General features: G+C 45.1%; 3 protein-coding genes across 37 annotated transcripts in view, besides 4 other annotated features; 1 reads left to right on the top strand and 2 right to left on the bottom strand.

The window, feature by feature from the left end:
- Window positions 1-17,176, bottom strand: part of RANBP2 (RAN binding protein 2) — a 1,122,820-nt gene that overhangs the window by 216,386 nt on the left and 889,258 nt on the right. The window lies entirely within an intron of this gene.
- Window positions 6,926-11,552, bottom strand: SOWAHC (sosondowah ankyrin repeat domain family member C). The gene has a single exon (NM_023016.4). The coding sequence runs from the start codon at window positions 11,424-11,426 to the stop codon at window positions 9,849-9,851; it is 1,578 nt and encodes a 525-aa protein (NP_075392.2). The 5' UTR covers window positions 11,427-11,552; the 3' UTR covers window positions 6,926-9,848.
- Window positions 11,499-11,668: a silencer, noted in NCBI's record as "silent region_11862". NCBI's record gives its function as "represses an Ori minimal core promoter by ATAC-STARR-seq in GM12878 lymphoblastoid cells {active_cell/tissue: GM12878}" and the evidence as "EXISTENCE:reporter gene assay evidence [ECO:0000049][PMID:35858748]".
- Window positions 11,929-12,178: a silencer, noted in NCBI's record as "silent region_11861". NCBI's record gives its function as "represses an Ori minimal core promoter by ATAC-STARR-seq in GM12878 lymphoblastoid cells {active_cell/tissue: GM12878}" and the evidence as "EXISTENCE:reporter gene assay evidence [ECO:0000049][PMID:35858748]".
- Window positions 11,950-17,176, top strand: part of SEPTIN10 (septin 10) — a 71,168-nt gene continuing 65,941 nt past the window's right edge. For 25 of the 35 annotated variants that reach the window (NM_001321503.2, NM_001321506.2, NM_001321511.2 and 22 more), the window contains exon 1: window positions 11,950-12,118. In NM_001321503.2, coding sequence (NP_001308432.1) covers window positions 12,089-12,118 — 30 coding nt within the window. In that variant the 5' untranslated portion in view covers window positions 11,950-12,088. Of the gene's footprint in view, window positions 12,119-12,248; window positions 12,805-17,176 lie in introns of those variants that run through there. The other 10 variants (NM_001321515.2, XM_047443486.1, XM_047443483.1 and 7 more) reach the window with 2 other exon arrangements.
- Window positions 12,151-13,060: an enhancer, noted in NCBI's record as "H3K27ac hESC enhancer chr2:110370433-110371342 (GRCh37/hg19 assembly coordinates)". NCBI's record gives its function as "activates a minimal SCP1, AML or CMV promoter by ChIP-STARR-seq in naive H9 embryonic stem cells {active_cell/tissue: H9 hESC(naive)}" and the evidence as "EXISTENCE:reporter gene assay evidence [ECO:0000049][PMID:30033119]".
- Window positions 12,209-12,298: a silencer, noted in NCBI's record as "silent region_11860". NCBI's record gives its function as "represses an Ori minimal core promoter by ATAC-STARR-seq in GM12878 lymphoblastoid cells {active_cell/tissue: GM12878}" and the evidence as "EXISTENCE:reporter gene assay evidence [ECO:0000049][PMID:35858748]".

Below are 17,176 nucleotides of genomic sequence, written 5' to 3'. Positions count from 1 at the left end.
CCCCTTCTCCCGGAGGTAACCATGTCTTTAATTTGGTCTTTATGGTCAATACTCTGACTAAGCATGCTTGTATCCCCAAATGAAACAGAATATTATTGTTTTGTTTTTACATTTTGTATACAGTGTATCCTACTCTACATTTCAGTCTGCAATTCGCTTTTCTTTCTCTTCATGTTATGATTTTGGATGCAACCCATGCTGGCATATATGGCTCTACTTCATTTATTTGTATTTTTATTTTATTTTATTTGAGACGGAGTCTTGCTCTGTCACCAAGGCTGGAGTGCAGTGGCGTGATCTCGGCTCACTGCAACCTCCACCTCCCGAGTTCAAGCGATTCTCCTTCCTCAGACTTCCGAGTAGCTGGGACTACAGGCACGTGCCACCATGCCCAGCTAATTTTTTTTTTTTTTTTTTGTATTTTTAGTAGAGACGGGGTTTCACCATCTTAGCCAGGGTGGTCTCGATCTCCTGACCTCGCGATCCGCCTGCCTCGGCCTCCCAAAGTGCTGGGATTACAGGCATGAGCCATTGCACCTGGCCTACTTCATTTATTTTTAACTGCTTTATACATGTCATTGTATGACAGCATCACAATTTATCTGTTCTCCATATGTTGGCTATTTGGGTTGTTCCCTTTTCTGCTGCTATTACAAACAATGCTGCAACAAATACCTATGCACATATGTTTGAGATCTCCAGGCCAGTGCCTGGGAATTCCCAGGGGCTAAAATGCAGATTCCAATTTAGTAGGACTCGGAGGGGCCTGAGATTATGCGTTTCTTTTTCTTTTCTTTCTTTTCTTTTCTTTTTTTTTTTTTTTTTTTTGTTGTTGTTGTTGTTGTTGAGATGTGTCACCAGGGCTGGAGTGCAGTGGTGCCATCTCCACTCACTAAAAGCTCCACCTCCTGGGTTCAAGCAATTCTCCTGCCTCAGCTTCCCAAGTAGCTGGGATTACAGGCACCCACCACCACTCCAGGCTAATTTTTGTATTTTTAGTAGAGACGGGGTTTCGCCATGTTGGCCAGGCTGGTCTTGAACTCCTGACCTCAGGTGATCTGCCCACCTTGGCTTCCCAAAGTGCTGGGATTACAGGAGTGAGCCACCATGCCCGGCTAGATTCTGCATTTCTAAGAAGAGGATACTGCTGGTTCCAAGGCCACCACTGGTGCAGCATACGCAATGAGAAGTGAAATAGTTGAGTTGAAGAGTATGTGTGTCTTCAACTGCGTTTCCAAGTAGTTTTTCCACATTACTCACCAGGGTGGCACTAATGACTCCCTTTCTGTGTATGAGAGTTCTCTTTGCACCACATCTTTAGCAGCACTTGGTACGATCAGACCACAATCTCAGATATCTAGACTATTCATTACCTCCCTACAAGGGAAGAAAAAGAGAAGCAGACCTCAAGCAACATTCTCCAGACAACTCACAGATGGCTGTAGATGGAAACCTGAAGAACACTCTAGTAGTGAAATCATGTTTGTGAGATGGGCAAGTTCAGCTGAAAGCATGTGTCATGGTTCAGAATAATGGTCAGAGTAGTAAAAGCGGTTGATTCTTCCAGGTGAATTTCTTAAAATATAATATGCATCATGTTACCTTCCTGCTCAAAAAGCTTCCCAGAGCCTCTTTCTGAATCAATTTCTCAGGCTAGCTTTCAAAGCGCTCTGCCAGATGGCCTCTACCTGCTCCGCTCTGCTTGCCTCCTGCCACCCCTCCCTGGAGCACCACCTGAGTGAAGGTTATCTCAGAACAATTTTGTAAGATGGGCTGAACTTTGGTGTTTGTTTTTGTCTTAGCCTCAGGCCACCCTCCATGCTCCCTTGGCCTCTTTTGAAGAAGTGAGTTTGCAAAGCTCTGAGTCAACCGCAGACCCAGCTCCTTCCCAAGCTGTGCAGTGCACAGAAGGCACCTATCACGTTGTTGTAAAATTAAATGGGCACAAAGATGACATAGGGGAAGACCCCTGTGTTTTGCCAAAAACTCTCTTGAGCACCTCTTGGCTGTCCAGACCCCATCCTGGGCTCTCCTGGGTCCTCTCCCTTCTCCTTTCCTCTCCCCACCCCAAACCTACCAACCTTGTTTTTGGAGTTCTTTTAGGAGATTGATTTTGGCTTCCATGGTGGTATCCACCTTCTTGATAAAGGCATCATGGTTTTCTAGAGGTTGATTACGGACCAAAGCATTCTCTTTCCTGGACAGAATTCTCTCACAGCACCCACCTGGGTGCACACCTTAAGCCATGAGCCATTTCAAGGTCAGACATTGGGAAGAATAATCAGAGTGGGATAGCTTTTAGGCAAATTCCACCTGACCACACAGAAACTGGAGTCGCCTGCCAAAAGCCATCCATCGGGGTCACTCTGGGTTTTAGTCAGGGGAAGCTCCAGATAGGTCACCCTCTTAGAGATCCAAGAATTGTGGGGCAGAGTCCGGACCGCAGGAGGCCAGCTGGCAAGAAGAGCTGTTCATTCTGTTAACCCATAAACAGCCCCCGAGTACAAGCCTGCTCAGGATAGCTGTGTGGCTGAGATATCCCCTCTGGAGAGCAGTTGGACAGTGGGCAAGAAAACTGGTGGTGCACCAGAGAGGGACATGCAGGGGCACAGAGGAGGACACTGACAAGTGGCCGGGGGTGGGTATGGGCTCAAGGAAGAGGCCACTAGGGATTTACAGGCAGGGAAAATAGCACCCTTTGTAATAGATTCCGATAGAACAAACATAACACTCCCGCCTGTGCCAAAATGAACTATCTTTTTGTTGTTGTTGTTGTTGTTTTCTTTTTTGAGACAGAGTTTCACTCTGTTGCCCAGGCTGGAGTGCAATGGCACAATCTCAGCTCAGTGCAAGCTCTGCCTCCTGGGTTCAAGTGATTCTTCTTTCTCAGCCTCCCGAGTAGCTGGGATTACAGGCCTGTGCCACCACACCTGGCTAATTTGTGTAGTTTTAGTAGACACAGGGTTTCACCATGTTGGCCAGCTGGTCTCGAACTACTGACCTCAGGTGATCCACCTGCCTCAGCCTCCCAAATTGCTGGGATTACAGGCATGAGCCACTGTGCCCGGCCTCAAAATGAACTATCAAAATTCTTTTAGTGGGTTGCAAATTTATAAATGTATAGTACGAAAACCAGATGCCGTGTTGCTGGTTTTCTTCTACGCTGGCGTTTAATCTCATGATTATGTGGAAGTGGGCTAAGCCCTTCCGTTAATGCTTAAGTGCTTAGACAAGTGAAAGGGGACTGGACAGAGGGGAGGTGAGCCTAAACAAAGAAATATAACTACACCTCAAATATTTTAGCAGCTCCACCATTCTGAGCTGAAGAAATATTCTTTCCTGACCCAAATTAATTTGATCCTAGGTGACACTGGAAAATGCAAACCCCTAAAAATCCAGTTCTAACCCTACTGCTGTGAAGTAACAACAGAGTGTTCAAGTCATTATCTGTCTCAATCATTAATGCTTGTTTTTGGTTCTTAGTTTGCTCTCTTCTGCAATAGTATGAATTTCCTGTATCATTTGTACTTCATTAGGTGCTAGCCCCATAAACTTCAGGCCAGTTGACTGTCTCTTATGTTCCCAAAGAAGTGGTATTTCCTGTACCACTAGGGCTTCCCACAAACCTTAGAGCCAGTCTGCCTGAGCACAAAGCTGAACTGCTAAGAACTAGCTTTGTGACCTTGGGCAAGTAGCAGCTATTTGGGTTTTTGCATTTCAGTTCTCCATCAGTAGAAGTGAGGTACTAGAATCAGGGAAGGGGTATTATGAGAGTTAAACAGCTTGCTTTTTATAAAGTACTTGAAACCTCATCGGGTATATATAGTAAGCTTCCTGAAAGTCTTAGCCGTCTTAGTCTTAACCTTAGTCTTGCTGCCATGTCAGCACCTAGGTGATTCTAAACCTGGCTAAGCCAAAGGTGATTCTTTGCTCAATAGTGCTGAACTGACTACAACCAAATAATTCCCTCTTTATTTATTTATTTATTTATTTATTTATTTTTGAGATGGAGTCTCACTCTGTGGACCAGGCTGGAGTACAGTGGTGCAATCTCAGCTCACTGCAACCTCCGCCTCCCGGGTTAAAGAGATTATCCTGCCTCAGCCTCCCAAGCAGCTGGGATTACATGTGCCCACCACTATGCCTAGCTAATATTTTGTATTTTTAGTAGAGATGGGGTTTCATTATGTTGGCCAGGCTGGTCTCGAACTCCTAACCTCGTGATTCACCTGCCTTGGCCTCCCAAAGTGCTGGGATTACAGGTGTAGGCCACCGCACCTGGCCATCATTGCCTCTTAAATGCAAATTCAAAGATCCAACATCAATATCAGAAATTTCTGGACAAATCTCAAGAATGCTCAATTATGTTTCTAAACTATTATATTCAAAGTTTCTTAGAGATCCAGAAGACTATTCTAATGGAGGGCTCCCAGGTTCTTTGATCAGAATAGCATAAAGTTGGGTTAAAAAAAAAAGTGGCTCACACATGTAATCCCAGCACTTTTAGGAAGCCGAGGTGGGCAGATCACGAGGTCAGGAGATCGAGACCATCCTGGCCAACATGGTGAAACCCCGTCTCTATTAAAATACAAAAAATTATCTGGGCGTAGTGGCGCGCGACTGTAGTCCCAGCTACTCGGGAGGCTGAGGCAGGGAAATCGCTTGAACCGGAGAGGCAGAGGTTGCAGTGAGCCAAGATCACGCCACTGCACTCCAGCCTGGCAACAGAGCAAGACTCCATCTCAAAAAGAAAACAACAACAACAAACCAACAACTTATATGATTCTACTTTATACCACTGGCAAAGCACTGGTTAACTTTATCCTAAGTTAGGCTGCTTTTGGCCAAAGCTTTGGTCAGAATGAATATGGTTTAGAGCAGTGTTTCTTGAGACAGAACTGGTCACAAGTGTGCTTTAAAATGATCTATTTTAAATTTTCAGGTGCTCATGCAACCTCTGACACATTTCCAAAGGCTGAATGTTCTATCTCACAAGGCAGTCCATGGTATGTTTAAAATGATTATTAGAAAGTTCTCCATGTTAAACTAAACTTCATTTCCCTATTCATTTGCTCTTTGGGATTTCACAGAATAAGTAGTCATTTGTATACCTGACAGTACTTAGACTATTTAAGGCCAATTAGAATAATTTCTCCTACAGGTCTTGGACTTGAGTCAGCTTGTAAGGAAACTTTCTTTCTTTCTATTTTTTTTTTGAGACAGAGTCGCTGTGATGCCCAGGCTGGAGTGCAGTGGCACAATCTCAGCTCACTGCAACCTCCGCCTCCCGGGTTCAAGTGATTCTCCTGCCTTAGCCTCCCAAGTAGCTGGGATTACAGGCATGCACCACCATGCTCAGCTAATTTGTGTATTTTTTGTAGAGACTGGGTTTCACCATGTTGGCCAGGCTGGTCTTGAACTCCTGACCTCAGGCGATGCTCCTGCCTCGGCCTCCCAAAGTGCTGGGATTACATGCGTGAGCCACCACGCCCAGCAAAATTTTCTTATAATCAAATTTACTCTTGAAAATCTCTTAAATCGCTCACGAAGTACAGTTCTAATAAAGCTGATTTTATCTTCAGGATTGGAATAACTTGCTGTTCTTTTGGCTGAGCTGCAGATGAACTGATAGGCTGGTATTTAAGAGCCATGTTATATAAAAAAACTATTCACATAGCATGAATGCATGTAATTGAATTATCCATATTATGTAACATTATAAAATATTTAATGTTTTCCATTAAAAGACCCTTACTGAGTACCTTCAACATGCCAGGCACTGTGCAAGGGTAGAACATTTGTCACACATTCCTTACCAATGCATCGATGTGGAAAAATAGGCTATTAGTTAACAGAATAGGAAAGCTACTTACTGAGATGAAACTGACATTTAAAGAGAAGATTGAGAAAAAAAGTATAGTGTTCTTCATGGAAAAAGCAGGTAGTTATGTGAACCACATGACTTCTGTATCTTGAGAAACAAGTTTCTGTAGAGTCATCTTCCAACCCTCTAATATTCAGTGATTTATGAAGACTTGGGTGATCATTGAAGGAATACTGGTTTACAGCAAATTCCAAGTATTTAATCCTGGAATTAATCATGTAAGAAACTCCAAATAATGCTATTTACTTAGCAAAATAAAAATAATTTTTACTAGGAAAATTTCAAAAATATCTTTAAGTGAACTGGTTAATAAATCCTTTTAAGACATGTACTTCTAAGGAAAGAAGTTATTCTAGAAAAACAAACTACTTATCTAGTCTTTCAGTGATCCTGAAAAATATTTTATGGGTTATCATAAAACAAGAATAACCCCAGCAGCCATCACAGTGGGATCTCCCGGATAGAGCAATAGTGGGCGATTACACCAAAGGAGTACCACATCCCTTTGCCATTCAACAGAGTTGAATTTTGCTAAAAATACAGATCACAGGAAGCCTTGATGAGGTAATTAACTCTCAATGCTTCACAGAGGCTGAAAAATGAAAAACGGTATTCCTACACCTGTCTTGAAGTCAGCCCTGGGTAGGGCAGGTTTATGGCAGATGGTGTGTGCAAAACCCATACAGCTTTTTTTTAGGTAGTGGTGGAGGTATTACCTTCTCTCCAAGTTGATTCCTCCATCACTGGTGCCAAACTACAGCAGTTTTGCTAAAAATGTGGCAATTCAATGTGCAGAAAAGATAACGTTGTGGGAAAGCCCTGACTCTTATAATCTTACTAACAGCTTTTTACTGTGTGACCCTGAACAACCATTAACCTCTATTTTCTTATCTGTAAGTCAACAATATATGGCCCATAATCTTAAGGGATAGGAAAAGGGTCAAATAAACTGAAACTTCAAAAAGCATTTTGTGAACTGTAAAACACAGTATATGTAAAAAGTCTAAAGGACGACAGAAACTTAGACAATTCAGAGAAAAATTCTACTGTGAACATTTTATTTTCACAAAACAAACTTTACAGATTTTACAATCTCCCAAATTTCACTTATTTAAAAATAGGAGAGACAAGGCAACCTAGACTCCAAGATTGCAGGCGTGAAAAAACTAGTACCAGATATTCAAGTTATATATGCAAACTGCATTTTATATACCATGAAAGTGAAATGTGACAAACACTCACTAGTTTCAAGTGTACCTTATAAGAAACACATGGACATACTTGGGTTTTTTAACCACATAGTCTCATATCAATAAACATCTAAGTATCTGACATGTATTTTTCCATTAAAGGTAGGCACAACTCTATGAATATCAAATTATATCAATCATTTGCTTTTTATAATCTTGACTGGAAACTGAAAAATAAGAGGAATGTAAAGTTAAGTAGCCGAAAATGCTACTTACTGCACAAAAGCACATCATGAAAAGGAATGCTAGAAGTAGTTCTCCTCAGGAATGGGTTTTTGAAAATTTAAAATATTATTTTATCAGAAAAGTTAAAGCCTTCAGTGGGAAAACCATGGTAAATGACATATTGACTCAATCTCTAAAGCCCTGGCAAATTATAGATTTTGTGCAATTAGTGACCAACATATACATTTAAGAGATAATACTGACTGTTGACCAGAACCTTCTGATGGTTCTGAAGCATCTGCTCTTTAGAGTTACTTCAGCTTTACATGTCTATGAAATTTAAGATTCCTCAATGGGATGTTATAGCTTATTCTGCACTAGATACAAGTAATATGTATAGATTTAGAACAAATGACTACTTTTCACCTTCCAGGAGCCTGTTTTTATTTATACAAAATTAGATTGGTTTTTCACCCACATGTATGCATAAGTGCTTCTCAAATTTACACCGTTCATATCTGAAATCCCACAATAAATGCAAATAAATGGATACTAGTTTATATATTTCATATTTTCATTCATCTTTTTTTTTTTTTTTTTTGAGACAGAGTCTCCGTTGCCCAGGCTGGAGTGCAGTGTCGTGATCTTGGCTCAACTGCAACCTCCACCTCTCAGGTTTAAGTGATTCTCATGCCTCAGCCTCCTAAGTAGCTGGGACTACAGGCACGCACCACCACGCTCGGCTAATTTTTGTATTTTTAGTAGAGACAGGTTTTCACCATGTTGGCCAGGCTGGTTTCAAACTCCTGGCCTCAAGTGATCCACCTGCCTCGGCCTCCCAAAGTGCTGGGATTACAGGCATGAGCCACCATGCCTGGCCTTTCATCCATCTTTAAACAAATTCAATGACCATCTAGAGACAGATGTGACCAAAGTGTTACAAATTTCTATGCATTTTCTATGAATTGCTCTGTGCAGTTCACACATGGGTTCATTCACCCCGCAGGCTGTGAACTTCCTTATCCTGTAGGCTGCAGGTACTTAGGTTTCAGCAACTACGCGACCCAAAAGACTAAAGGAGGACTTGTTTAAATTAGTCCCTCTCAAAAATTGTTTCCAATCTTATAACAAACAGATTTAATATGCTTGTGGGTTAAATTTTAAAGTAGTTATGAAGCCATTTACTCTAATATAAATGAATGAAATGTAATTAAGAACCATACTTAAACGAGTACTTAATTTTAATGAATGGTATTTTTCATTTATATACAAAGGAATAGCCAGCAGCATTTAAATATAGAAATAGTCCCATCTCTTCTCTATTCCCTTTTATAAAGTGCCATTTTAATTGGGTAGATTTACTACCCAGATTTTCAGTAACTACAGGATAGGTATCTAATTGTCAAGAAAAGCTTGGAAAATTAAGTTTAGCATTTTAAACATTTGTAAAACATTGCTACAAGTCATAGAGACTACCAATGTATTAAAATAAAAAGTGTACCTTACATAAGAATCATTAAGTTGGTTTAATAATTACTTCACAGAAACATGGGCTCATGAATACTTAGGCCAATTTGTGCTAATTATTTAAACCAGAAACAGTTTCTGTAGGTAATTCAGCTCTAAGCACCATTAAATAGGGTTATGCCAAATAGAACAATGGTTAAATAATCCTCAGAATAAACACCCCAGCAAATTCAAACTTTTAGAATAGTAACAAAAGTTAGTGAGAATCCGAAAGAGAGGCAACATTTTATTGAAAACTATCATAGGCTGCTAAGTGTTCTCTTTAAATAAAATTTTGTGTAGTTATTAATGTACCTTAACACTGGTGTACCTTAATAGTGGTGTTAGAGATAGGTGGAAACCATACTACAGAAGTGAATGTTGCCTGTTTCTTTTGTTCAGTGATTAAAACTGAAATTGCTTTTAAAAAAATAATTTAACTGCTACTTACAATACACATAAAATACCAAGAAGATTCCCATTTTATTCACATTATTCTCTAATTAGTATTTTTGCATTTCAACTTTGATCTGACCTTCAGTAGTACCTTAAAATGCAAATGCAATTAGTAAAAACGGGGCAGCCTGTCGTTTTCACACTTAGAAATACAATGTAGTTTCATTACAGTTTGCATTTTTTTGTTACTCTTGAAAGAGTAACCCCTTATAAAATCAGATACATAAAAACTGCATTATTCCTTACTTTGCAGGCATCCAGGAATGGTTAAAGCAAAGGAACTCTCATTCATTAATTCATTCATTCTGTTCCCCCAATTTAGATACATTTCTAGTCTCCAGAAACGGACTCCAGGGCAGGGAAGTGGAGGGCAGAGAAGAGGTACAGGTCAAGGTATGATGAATCTCTGAAAAAGACATCCACTTTTCCCAGAAGGCTAGCCTGAAGAGAACTCCGCCCCATCCATTCCGATCCCTCAAGTAAGAATGCATAATTTAGCTTGTCCTTCTGGTCTCACTTCCTTACAACACCTAGTATTCAATTTATTAAGACAAATAAACCTTTGCATTTTCTAAAAGAAGCAATTTTTACCCAAATACATTGGACTTTGGTCTCAATGTGAAGGGCGAGTGGCCTTTAACAGGTCGTTCCTCCCCCACTCCCTCCTCCCCCCTGCCCTCCAGCGGCTGCTCTGGGTCCCTGAAAGAGGGTGTGGTGTGGACGATCTGGGTTCTGAATCGGATTTTGTTGAGTCTGGGTTTTATACGTCCACTAGAGCTGCCCGAGGCTTTGCGCCCTGGATCCTTGGCTTTGCCTCCGACCCACCCCTCAGCCGAGTGGTGATGGTGGTGATGGTCCCCTCCATCTTCTAGGGCGTGTGAGAGTTTGTAGGTGATGAGATGCGAGGGAAGCACCTTTGAAAGCCTCCAGCGCCCGCCGCCGCTACCCGCGGCGCTTTCCCCGTCACCCTCGTCCAGGGCTCCCACCAGGTTCTTGATCTCCTCGGCGATGCTCCGACTCAGGTACTGGGAGGCCTTTTTCCCACTGTAGTCCCTGATGTCCACATCGGCGTCGTAGGCCCCCACCAGCAGCTTCACCACCTCCACGTGGCCGTGCATGGCTGCCAAGTGCAGGGCGGTGTAACCCCCGCTCGTCCTGGCGTCGATGTTCACCGGCAGCTGGTGTTTGTTGGCGAAGTTGACTAGCATGGCCAGAAGCTCCTGCCTGCCGTGCTTGGCGGCCCAGTGCAGGCAAGTGAAGCCGGTAATGAAGTCCCGCTTGACCAGCAGGCCGGGCTCGCAGGTGAGCAAGCCCTCCAGGCTGTCCCACTTGCCATCGGAGGCAGAGAGCATCCACGCGTGCTCCAGGGGGTCCAGCGTCACGGAGCCTCCGCCGCTGCTCTCCTCCTCCGCGGACGACGAGGCCACCGATGCGCTGTCTGAGTCGCCCCCGCCTCTGCCGCGTCCTCCCCCGGAGGAGCTGCCCGGGCTGCTGCCCCCGGGACACACGCTCCTCTTCAGCTGCGGGGAGCTGCCCATCACCAGGTCACGGAGGTTCTGGCGGGCCGGCCTCTGTGCGGTAGCCCCCACAAGGGAGCTGCCCCTGTCCGCCTCCTCGCAGCCATGTGGCGGGAGCTCCAGGTCCTCGCTGGGCCCCGGGGCTGGAGTCCGCGGTAGGGGCTGCACGTCGCGCCGCGAGTTCTTCCTGCGAGCCCCGGCGCTCAGGGGCGGCCAGTGCGCGGGGGCGGGGGGCTCTCCCTCGCCCAGCTCGCGGCCCTGTCCAGGGAGCGACTCCGGGGCCGCCGCGTCGGGGAGCCGATCGCGCGCCTCGGGCCCGGCAGGGCCGTCGGGGGCCTCGGGCTCGGCGGTCACCTGGATTCGCGGCGGGTCCCCGGAGGGCTCGGACGGCCCTTCACAGAACCTCTTCTTGAGGTGCACGTACTTGGCGCCGTCGGCGGGATCGACGCGCACAGTGGCCACGGCGTTCACCAGCTCCTTGAAGTGCGCGCGGGCGCGGGCGCGCTGCTCCGGTTCGCCGCCTAGGGCGCCCCTGAAGTGCTGCACCAGCTCGGCGTGCAGGGCCCGGCCCCCGCGCTCCGCCAGGAAGCGCAGCACCGCCTCGGGGCCCAGCGCCGCCTCGGGGCCCCACTCTGCCGGCCCCTCCATCCTCGACCGCGCTGCTCCCCCGCCAGCGGGCGGCTCAGCGCGGTCCCATAGCGACGGGCTCCCAGCGGCCGGCTCCCGACGGCGGCGGAGTCTGGCGGGCTCAGCGGGCTGCCAGCCTACGCGTCTGAGGCCAGAGGACTCGGCCACCGCCTCACTGGGCCGCGCCCGGGCGGACACGCCCCCCGCACCCCCGCCCCGCGCCCACGCCACCAGGCCACGCCCACTTCCGCTCCCCGCTGTCTCGGCCACACCTACCTAGGGCGGCCTCGCCTCAAGGCCCGCCCACTTCCGGCCTCGCGAGGGCCGCAATCACTGCTCCGCAGTTCCCGCCTGCATTCCTCGCGCCGTCTTCCTGGAGTCCCAGCTCTCCTTCAGCCCGCCCCAACGCTGACGCTCAGTCCTCAGGCGTCGAGGGTAGCTCCTGTGAGGGGCTCGCTTGGCGCAGGCAAAACGCTCAGCGCGCACCACAGGGCGTCCGCCCCAACCCCGCCCCCGGAGGCCTCCAGCTCGGCCCCGCCCCTGTCCCTTCCCCGTCGCGGAGGCAGCCTAGCCTCGCGCCCCGCCCGTTGCTTCTGCCCTCCGGCCTTCCCGCCGCCGTCGCCGGGACCAGCCGCTCGGGGCCGGGCTGATACAGCCGCTTCACCGTGCCCCTGCCCGCGACCATGGCCTCCTCCGAGGTGGCGCGGCACCTGGTGAGTCCCGCCGACGCCGGGGCCCCAGCCCCGCGCTCCCCGGCCCCCGCGGGACTTCCCGCCCTCGACCCACCGGCCCCCTGGTCCGGCCCGGGATTGTGACCCGCGCCCCCTCCGGCCCCGCCCGCCCAGTGCTCCCCGGCTTCCGCGGCGGCCGGGCGCCTGGGGCGGGAGAGGAGCCTCTGCGGAGCCTGGGCGCGGCCGGACCCCGGTTCGCGGGGCGCGGCGCCAGCGTCGGGACGGTGGGAGAGTTCTTGAACGACTTCCCGGTCTTTGCCAAAAGTTACATCCACAGCGGTGTTTGTGGGTCTCTTACGGCTATAACGGAGTTGAAGGCGCAGTGCGGACTGATTGAATAGCGGTCATCTTTTGCAGCCGTGAGCACTTCCGAGCCTCCCTGCCGCCGGGAGAAAGCCCGGCTCCCCTGGCTTTTCAAAAGCTCTCCCGTTTTATCCGATGGTGTGGTCGTCCAAGTTTTCCTCCATTGGGATTTTAAACCGTTTTTTTCCCGCCTTGACTCTTTTGTACTCTAAAAGAACGCGTTTGTTCACTGTTTTGAACCTTTCCAGTTACTTTTGTAGATTTATCTCGCTTGTTAGTAAGCCAGCGGTTTTCCAAGTGTGGTTACAACTATTTTCGTTAATAGTACCAAGGTCGTGTACATCGAGTTTTCCAAAGGCTACATGGTATGGAGTGATCTCACCGCCGTTTGGAGGCCCGATGCCTGTGTATTCTTAAAAACAAATTCTCCCTTTTAATTTTTGATAGTAAACATTGGTGGTTTTCATCTGTGTAAACAAAAGCTCTTTGGAGGCTGGAGACCAAAAAGTTTGAGAACCACTCTACTAAGCAACCTCCTACATGAGAAGTTTAAATTGTAGAAACAGTTCAGATTGCAGGCTGAGAGATTAGAGGATCCGTCCAAAGTGACACCGTTGGTTTGTTTTATAGAACCTGGACAAAGATTTTTCTCCCTGATTCAGCCCAGGTCTCTTTTCATTCTATCGCGTATTTTTTAAAAATCTCAAATTTTCTGTCTGGACCCCCTTGTCTCAGTTGCTGTGTTTGTGTGCATGTGTGAGTGAGGGAAAATTGAGGGGTCCTGGTGAGGAAAATGTGTTTTATAAATTCTTTGATTCATAGATTACGTATCCAAACAAGCTTGAGCAGAAGAGAACACTTCATTTAGCTGATGTTAGATTTATTTTTAATTGTACTTAATTTGCTTTGAGGCTAACTTTACTTATTTTCGAATTAAACTGTATTTTGCGTTAATTGTAGATTAATATGCAGTTGTAAGAAATAATACAGTATAGTGAGAACCCTGTACCCTTTATCCACCTTTCCACAATAAGATCTGGCAAACCCATAGTACGATATCACAACCAGCATATTGTCATTGATTGATACAGTGAAGATAAAGGATGTTCCCAGGACCAGGAGGATCCCTTAATGCCTTTTTATAACCACACACACTTCTTTCCTGCCCTGCCTCCTTCTTAACCCCAGACAATCAGTGATTCGTTTTTATTCTTATAATTTTGTCATTCCAAGACTTATATAATGGAATCACCCAGTTAGTAACCTTTTGAGATTGGATTTTTTTTTTTTCAACTCAGCAAAGTTCTGGAGATTCATCCAGGTTGTTGCATATATCTGCAGTTTGCTGGGGTAGTATTCCATGGTATGATTGTGCCACAGTTTGAAGGATATCTAGGTTGTTTTCAGTTGTTGGCTATTGGCAATAAAGCTGCTATAAACATTCATGTACAGTAACTCATAATGTAAGCATAAGTCTTCAGTTCTTTGGGATAGATGCCCAGGAATACAATTGTTGGGTCATATGGTAGTTGCATGCTTAGTTTTGTAAGAAACTGCCAGACTTTCTCAGAATGGCTGTATTATTTTGCATCCCTACCAGGAAAGTATGAGAGGTCCAGTTTCTGCACATCCTTACCAGCATTTGGTGGTGTCCTTATTTTTAATTTAGCCATTCTTATAGGTATATAGTGACACCTCATGGTGATTTTAACTTGGATTTCTCGTATTGTCACCCAGGCTAGAGTGCAGTGGTGCCAAGATGGCTCACTTCAACCTCAGCCTCAATCTCCTGGGCTCAAGCGATCCTCCTGCCTCAGCCACCCCAAGTAGCTAGGACTATAGGTGTGCACCACCACAGCCGGCTAAATTTTTGTATTTTTTGTAGAGGCAGGGGTGTGACCATGTTGCCCAGGCTGGTCTCAAACTCCTGGGCTCAAGCGATCCTCCCGTCTCAGCCTCCCAACATGTTGCCTATTTTCTAGTTAGATTTTTTTTTTCTGTTGGGTTTAAAGTTTTTTAGGTATACTAGATTCCAGTCCTTTCTCAGATATGTGATTTGAAAATGTTCTCTTTCAGTCTGTAGTTTATCTTTTCATCTTCTAACAGGGTCTTTTGCAAAGCAAAAGTTTTCAGTTTTGTTGAAATTTATCATTATTTCCTTTTATGGATTGTGCTTTTGGTGTCAAGTTTAAGAACTCTTTGCCTAACCTTAGATCCCAAAGATTTTCTCTTATTTTTTTCCTAAAAGTTTTATAGTTTATGTTTTACATTTATGTTATGACCCATTTTGAGTTAATTTTTCTGTTAGGTGTCAGACTTAAGTTGAGGGCCATTTTTTGGCCTATGGATGTCCAGTTGCTCCAGCACCATTTGTTGAATAGGCTCCCTTTCCATTATTGAGTTGTTGATGCACTTTTGTCAAAAGTCAGTTGAGCATATTTGTGTGGGTCTGTTTCAGTCTGTTTCTGGGTTCTCCGTTAGCACGCAGTCTTGATTCCTGTAGCTGTGTAAGTCTGAAATAAGGTAGACTGATTTCTCCCACTTTATTCTTCTCTCCCCCAGATTTTTAGCTATTCTAGTTCTGTGCCTCTCTGTGTAAGTTTTAGAATCGTCTTATCTATATTTACAAATAATTTTGCTGGGATTCGAGAGGAATTACATTAAATGTTTATATCGATTTAGGGAGAATTGATAGCTTTACTATGTTGAGTCTTCTAACTCATGTACATAGTATTTCTCTTCATTTCTCTCTTTTTTTTTGAAGACGGAATGTCGCTTTGTCACCCAGGCTGGAGTTCAATAGCATGATCTCAGCTCACCGCAGCCTCCACCTCCCTGGTTCAAGCGATTCTCCTACCCCAGCCTCCTGAGTAGTTGGGATTACAGGCATGTGCCACCACGCCCGGCTAATTTTTTGTATTTTTAGTAGACACAGGGTTTCTCCATGTTGGTCAAGCTGGTCTTGAACTCCCAACCTCAGGTGATCCACCCGTCTCAGTCTCCCGAAGTGTTGGGATTACAGGCGTGAGCCACCATGCCCGGCCCAGACCTTTTTTTTAATAGAAGAGGATATTAAAATTCAGGGAAGTGGCTGGGCGCAGTGGCTCACACCTGTAATCCCAGCACTTTGGGAGGCCCAGATGGATGGATCATGAGGTCAAGAGATTGAGACCATCCTGGCCAACACCGTAAAACCCCATCTCTGCTAAAAATACAGGAAATTAGCTGGGCTTGGTGGCATGCGCCTGTAGTCCCAACTACTTGGGAGGCTGAGGCAGGAGGATCACTTGAACCTGAGAGGTGGAGGTTGCAGTAAGCTGAGATCGCGCCACTGCACTCCAGCCTGGCGACAGAGTGAGACTCTGTCTAAAAAAAAAAAAACACCTCAGGGAAGTTTAGTGTCTCGCTTAAGGAATCACAGCTAGTGATTGTGAGATCTGCTCTGTGTCATATTGTCCCTGCCATTATCTCCACCATGCTCCTTATTAGGAATTGCATCATTTTATGATTCAGGAGATCCTGGCTGTATAATTAGTTATTGTTGACTGAGATAGTGGATCTTGAAATAGTGTTGAGTACAGTCCACTGACTGCCTTTTCATCTCCCGAGAAACACAGCCATAATTTTCCACTTCTTCAGTTATCCTTACCTTTTAAGTGGTGACCAAATCTTTGCAATTCCTGTCCGCATTTGTCATTTCCTGTTTTAGCTACAATGCTTCTGAACTTTTTTTCTCATTCCTTCTCAGTTTTTCTTCAGTGAGGATAATTTTCGTATCTAAGAGGCTTCTCATTTGTTTTACTTTCTGTCTTGAAGTTGTGATTCTTAATTCTTTCTTGATCTTTTTTTTTTTTTTTTTTTGAGGCGGAGTCTTGCTCTGTCACCCAGGCTAGAGTGCAGTGGCGCGATCTCGGCAGTGAAAAGACTCAGTTCCCATGCTGCTTCCTCTGAAGCTTTCCCAGAGAACCCCAGCCCCTGGCAGCCAGGCTGCTTCTCATTTGGTATTTGGTCATATGCTACCTTGCAGTACCTCCTAATTTATGTTTTTGTATTGTTAACCTTTTGCATCAAGTAAACTCTGCATTTTTTTCGTCCTTAATTAAATGATCTGTTTTCTGGAAGAGCAACCTGTATTATTCTTTGTATCCTCCATAGCCATACTCATATATCTTTGAGGACAGGCATTATTTTTTTATATGGAAAGTATGTTATCTTGGACAATTTTATTCTTGCTGAATGTTAAATGAATAAATTATAAATGCTTGCAGGCAGCCAGGAGCTGTTTGTTCATCTACACTTATGTTCTAATGAAGCCCCACTTTCCCTAGGCTGAAACACTGATAGTGTCATACTTTTCAGATAGTCCCAGACCGATTTTCATTATAACATAGTGCCAGGTTATGTTTGGATTAATTGATTGATTGATTGATATATTTTGGTCTGTGGGAAAGAAGGAGAAGGATGCTCTTAAATTTTTATAATCTACTGCAGGATAGAGTCCCTCTCTTCAAGAATACATACAGGACCCTTGCTTTCAACCATATTAATGTGATTTATCTCTGCTTTAGATTTTGAGCATTCCTAGTATAAAATGCCTGATGCGCAAAGCTTTTGTAATGAGAACTTTAATTCTTACACTTTCTTCTGATAATATCTGGAAGGTTGATTTAGATAATGCTTTATTTAGAAAATTTAATTTTTTTTTAGGATTTGTATCTACTACTGATTTAAGGATTT

This window comes from Homo sapiens, chromosome 2, assembly GCF_000001405.40.
Source record: "Homo sapiens chromosome 2, GRCh38.p14 Primary Assembly".
Lineage (NCBI taxonomy): Eukaryota > Metazoa > Chordata > Mammalia > Primates > Hominidae > Homo > Homo sapiens.
The sequence above is the reverse complement of the archived record's forward strand: the minus strand, read 5'-3'. Positions and strand labels throughout refer to the sequence as shown.

What these genes read in the sequence shown, in the direction of transcription:
- SOWAHC (NM_023016.4), bottom strand. Translation starts at nt 11,426, where the DNA reads ATGGAGGGGCCGGCAGAGTGGGGCCCCGAGGCGGCGCTGGGCCCCGAG.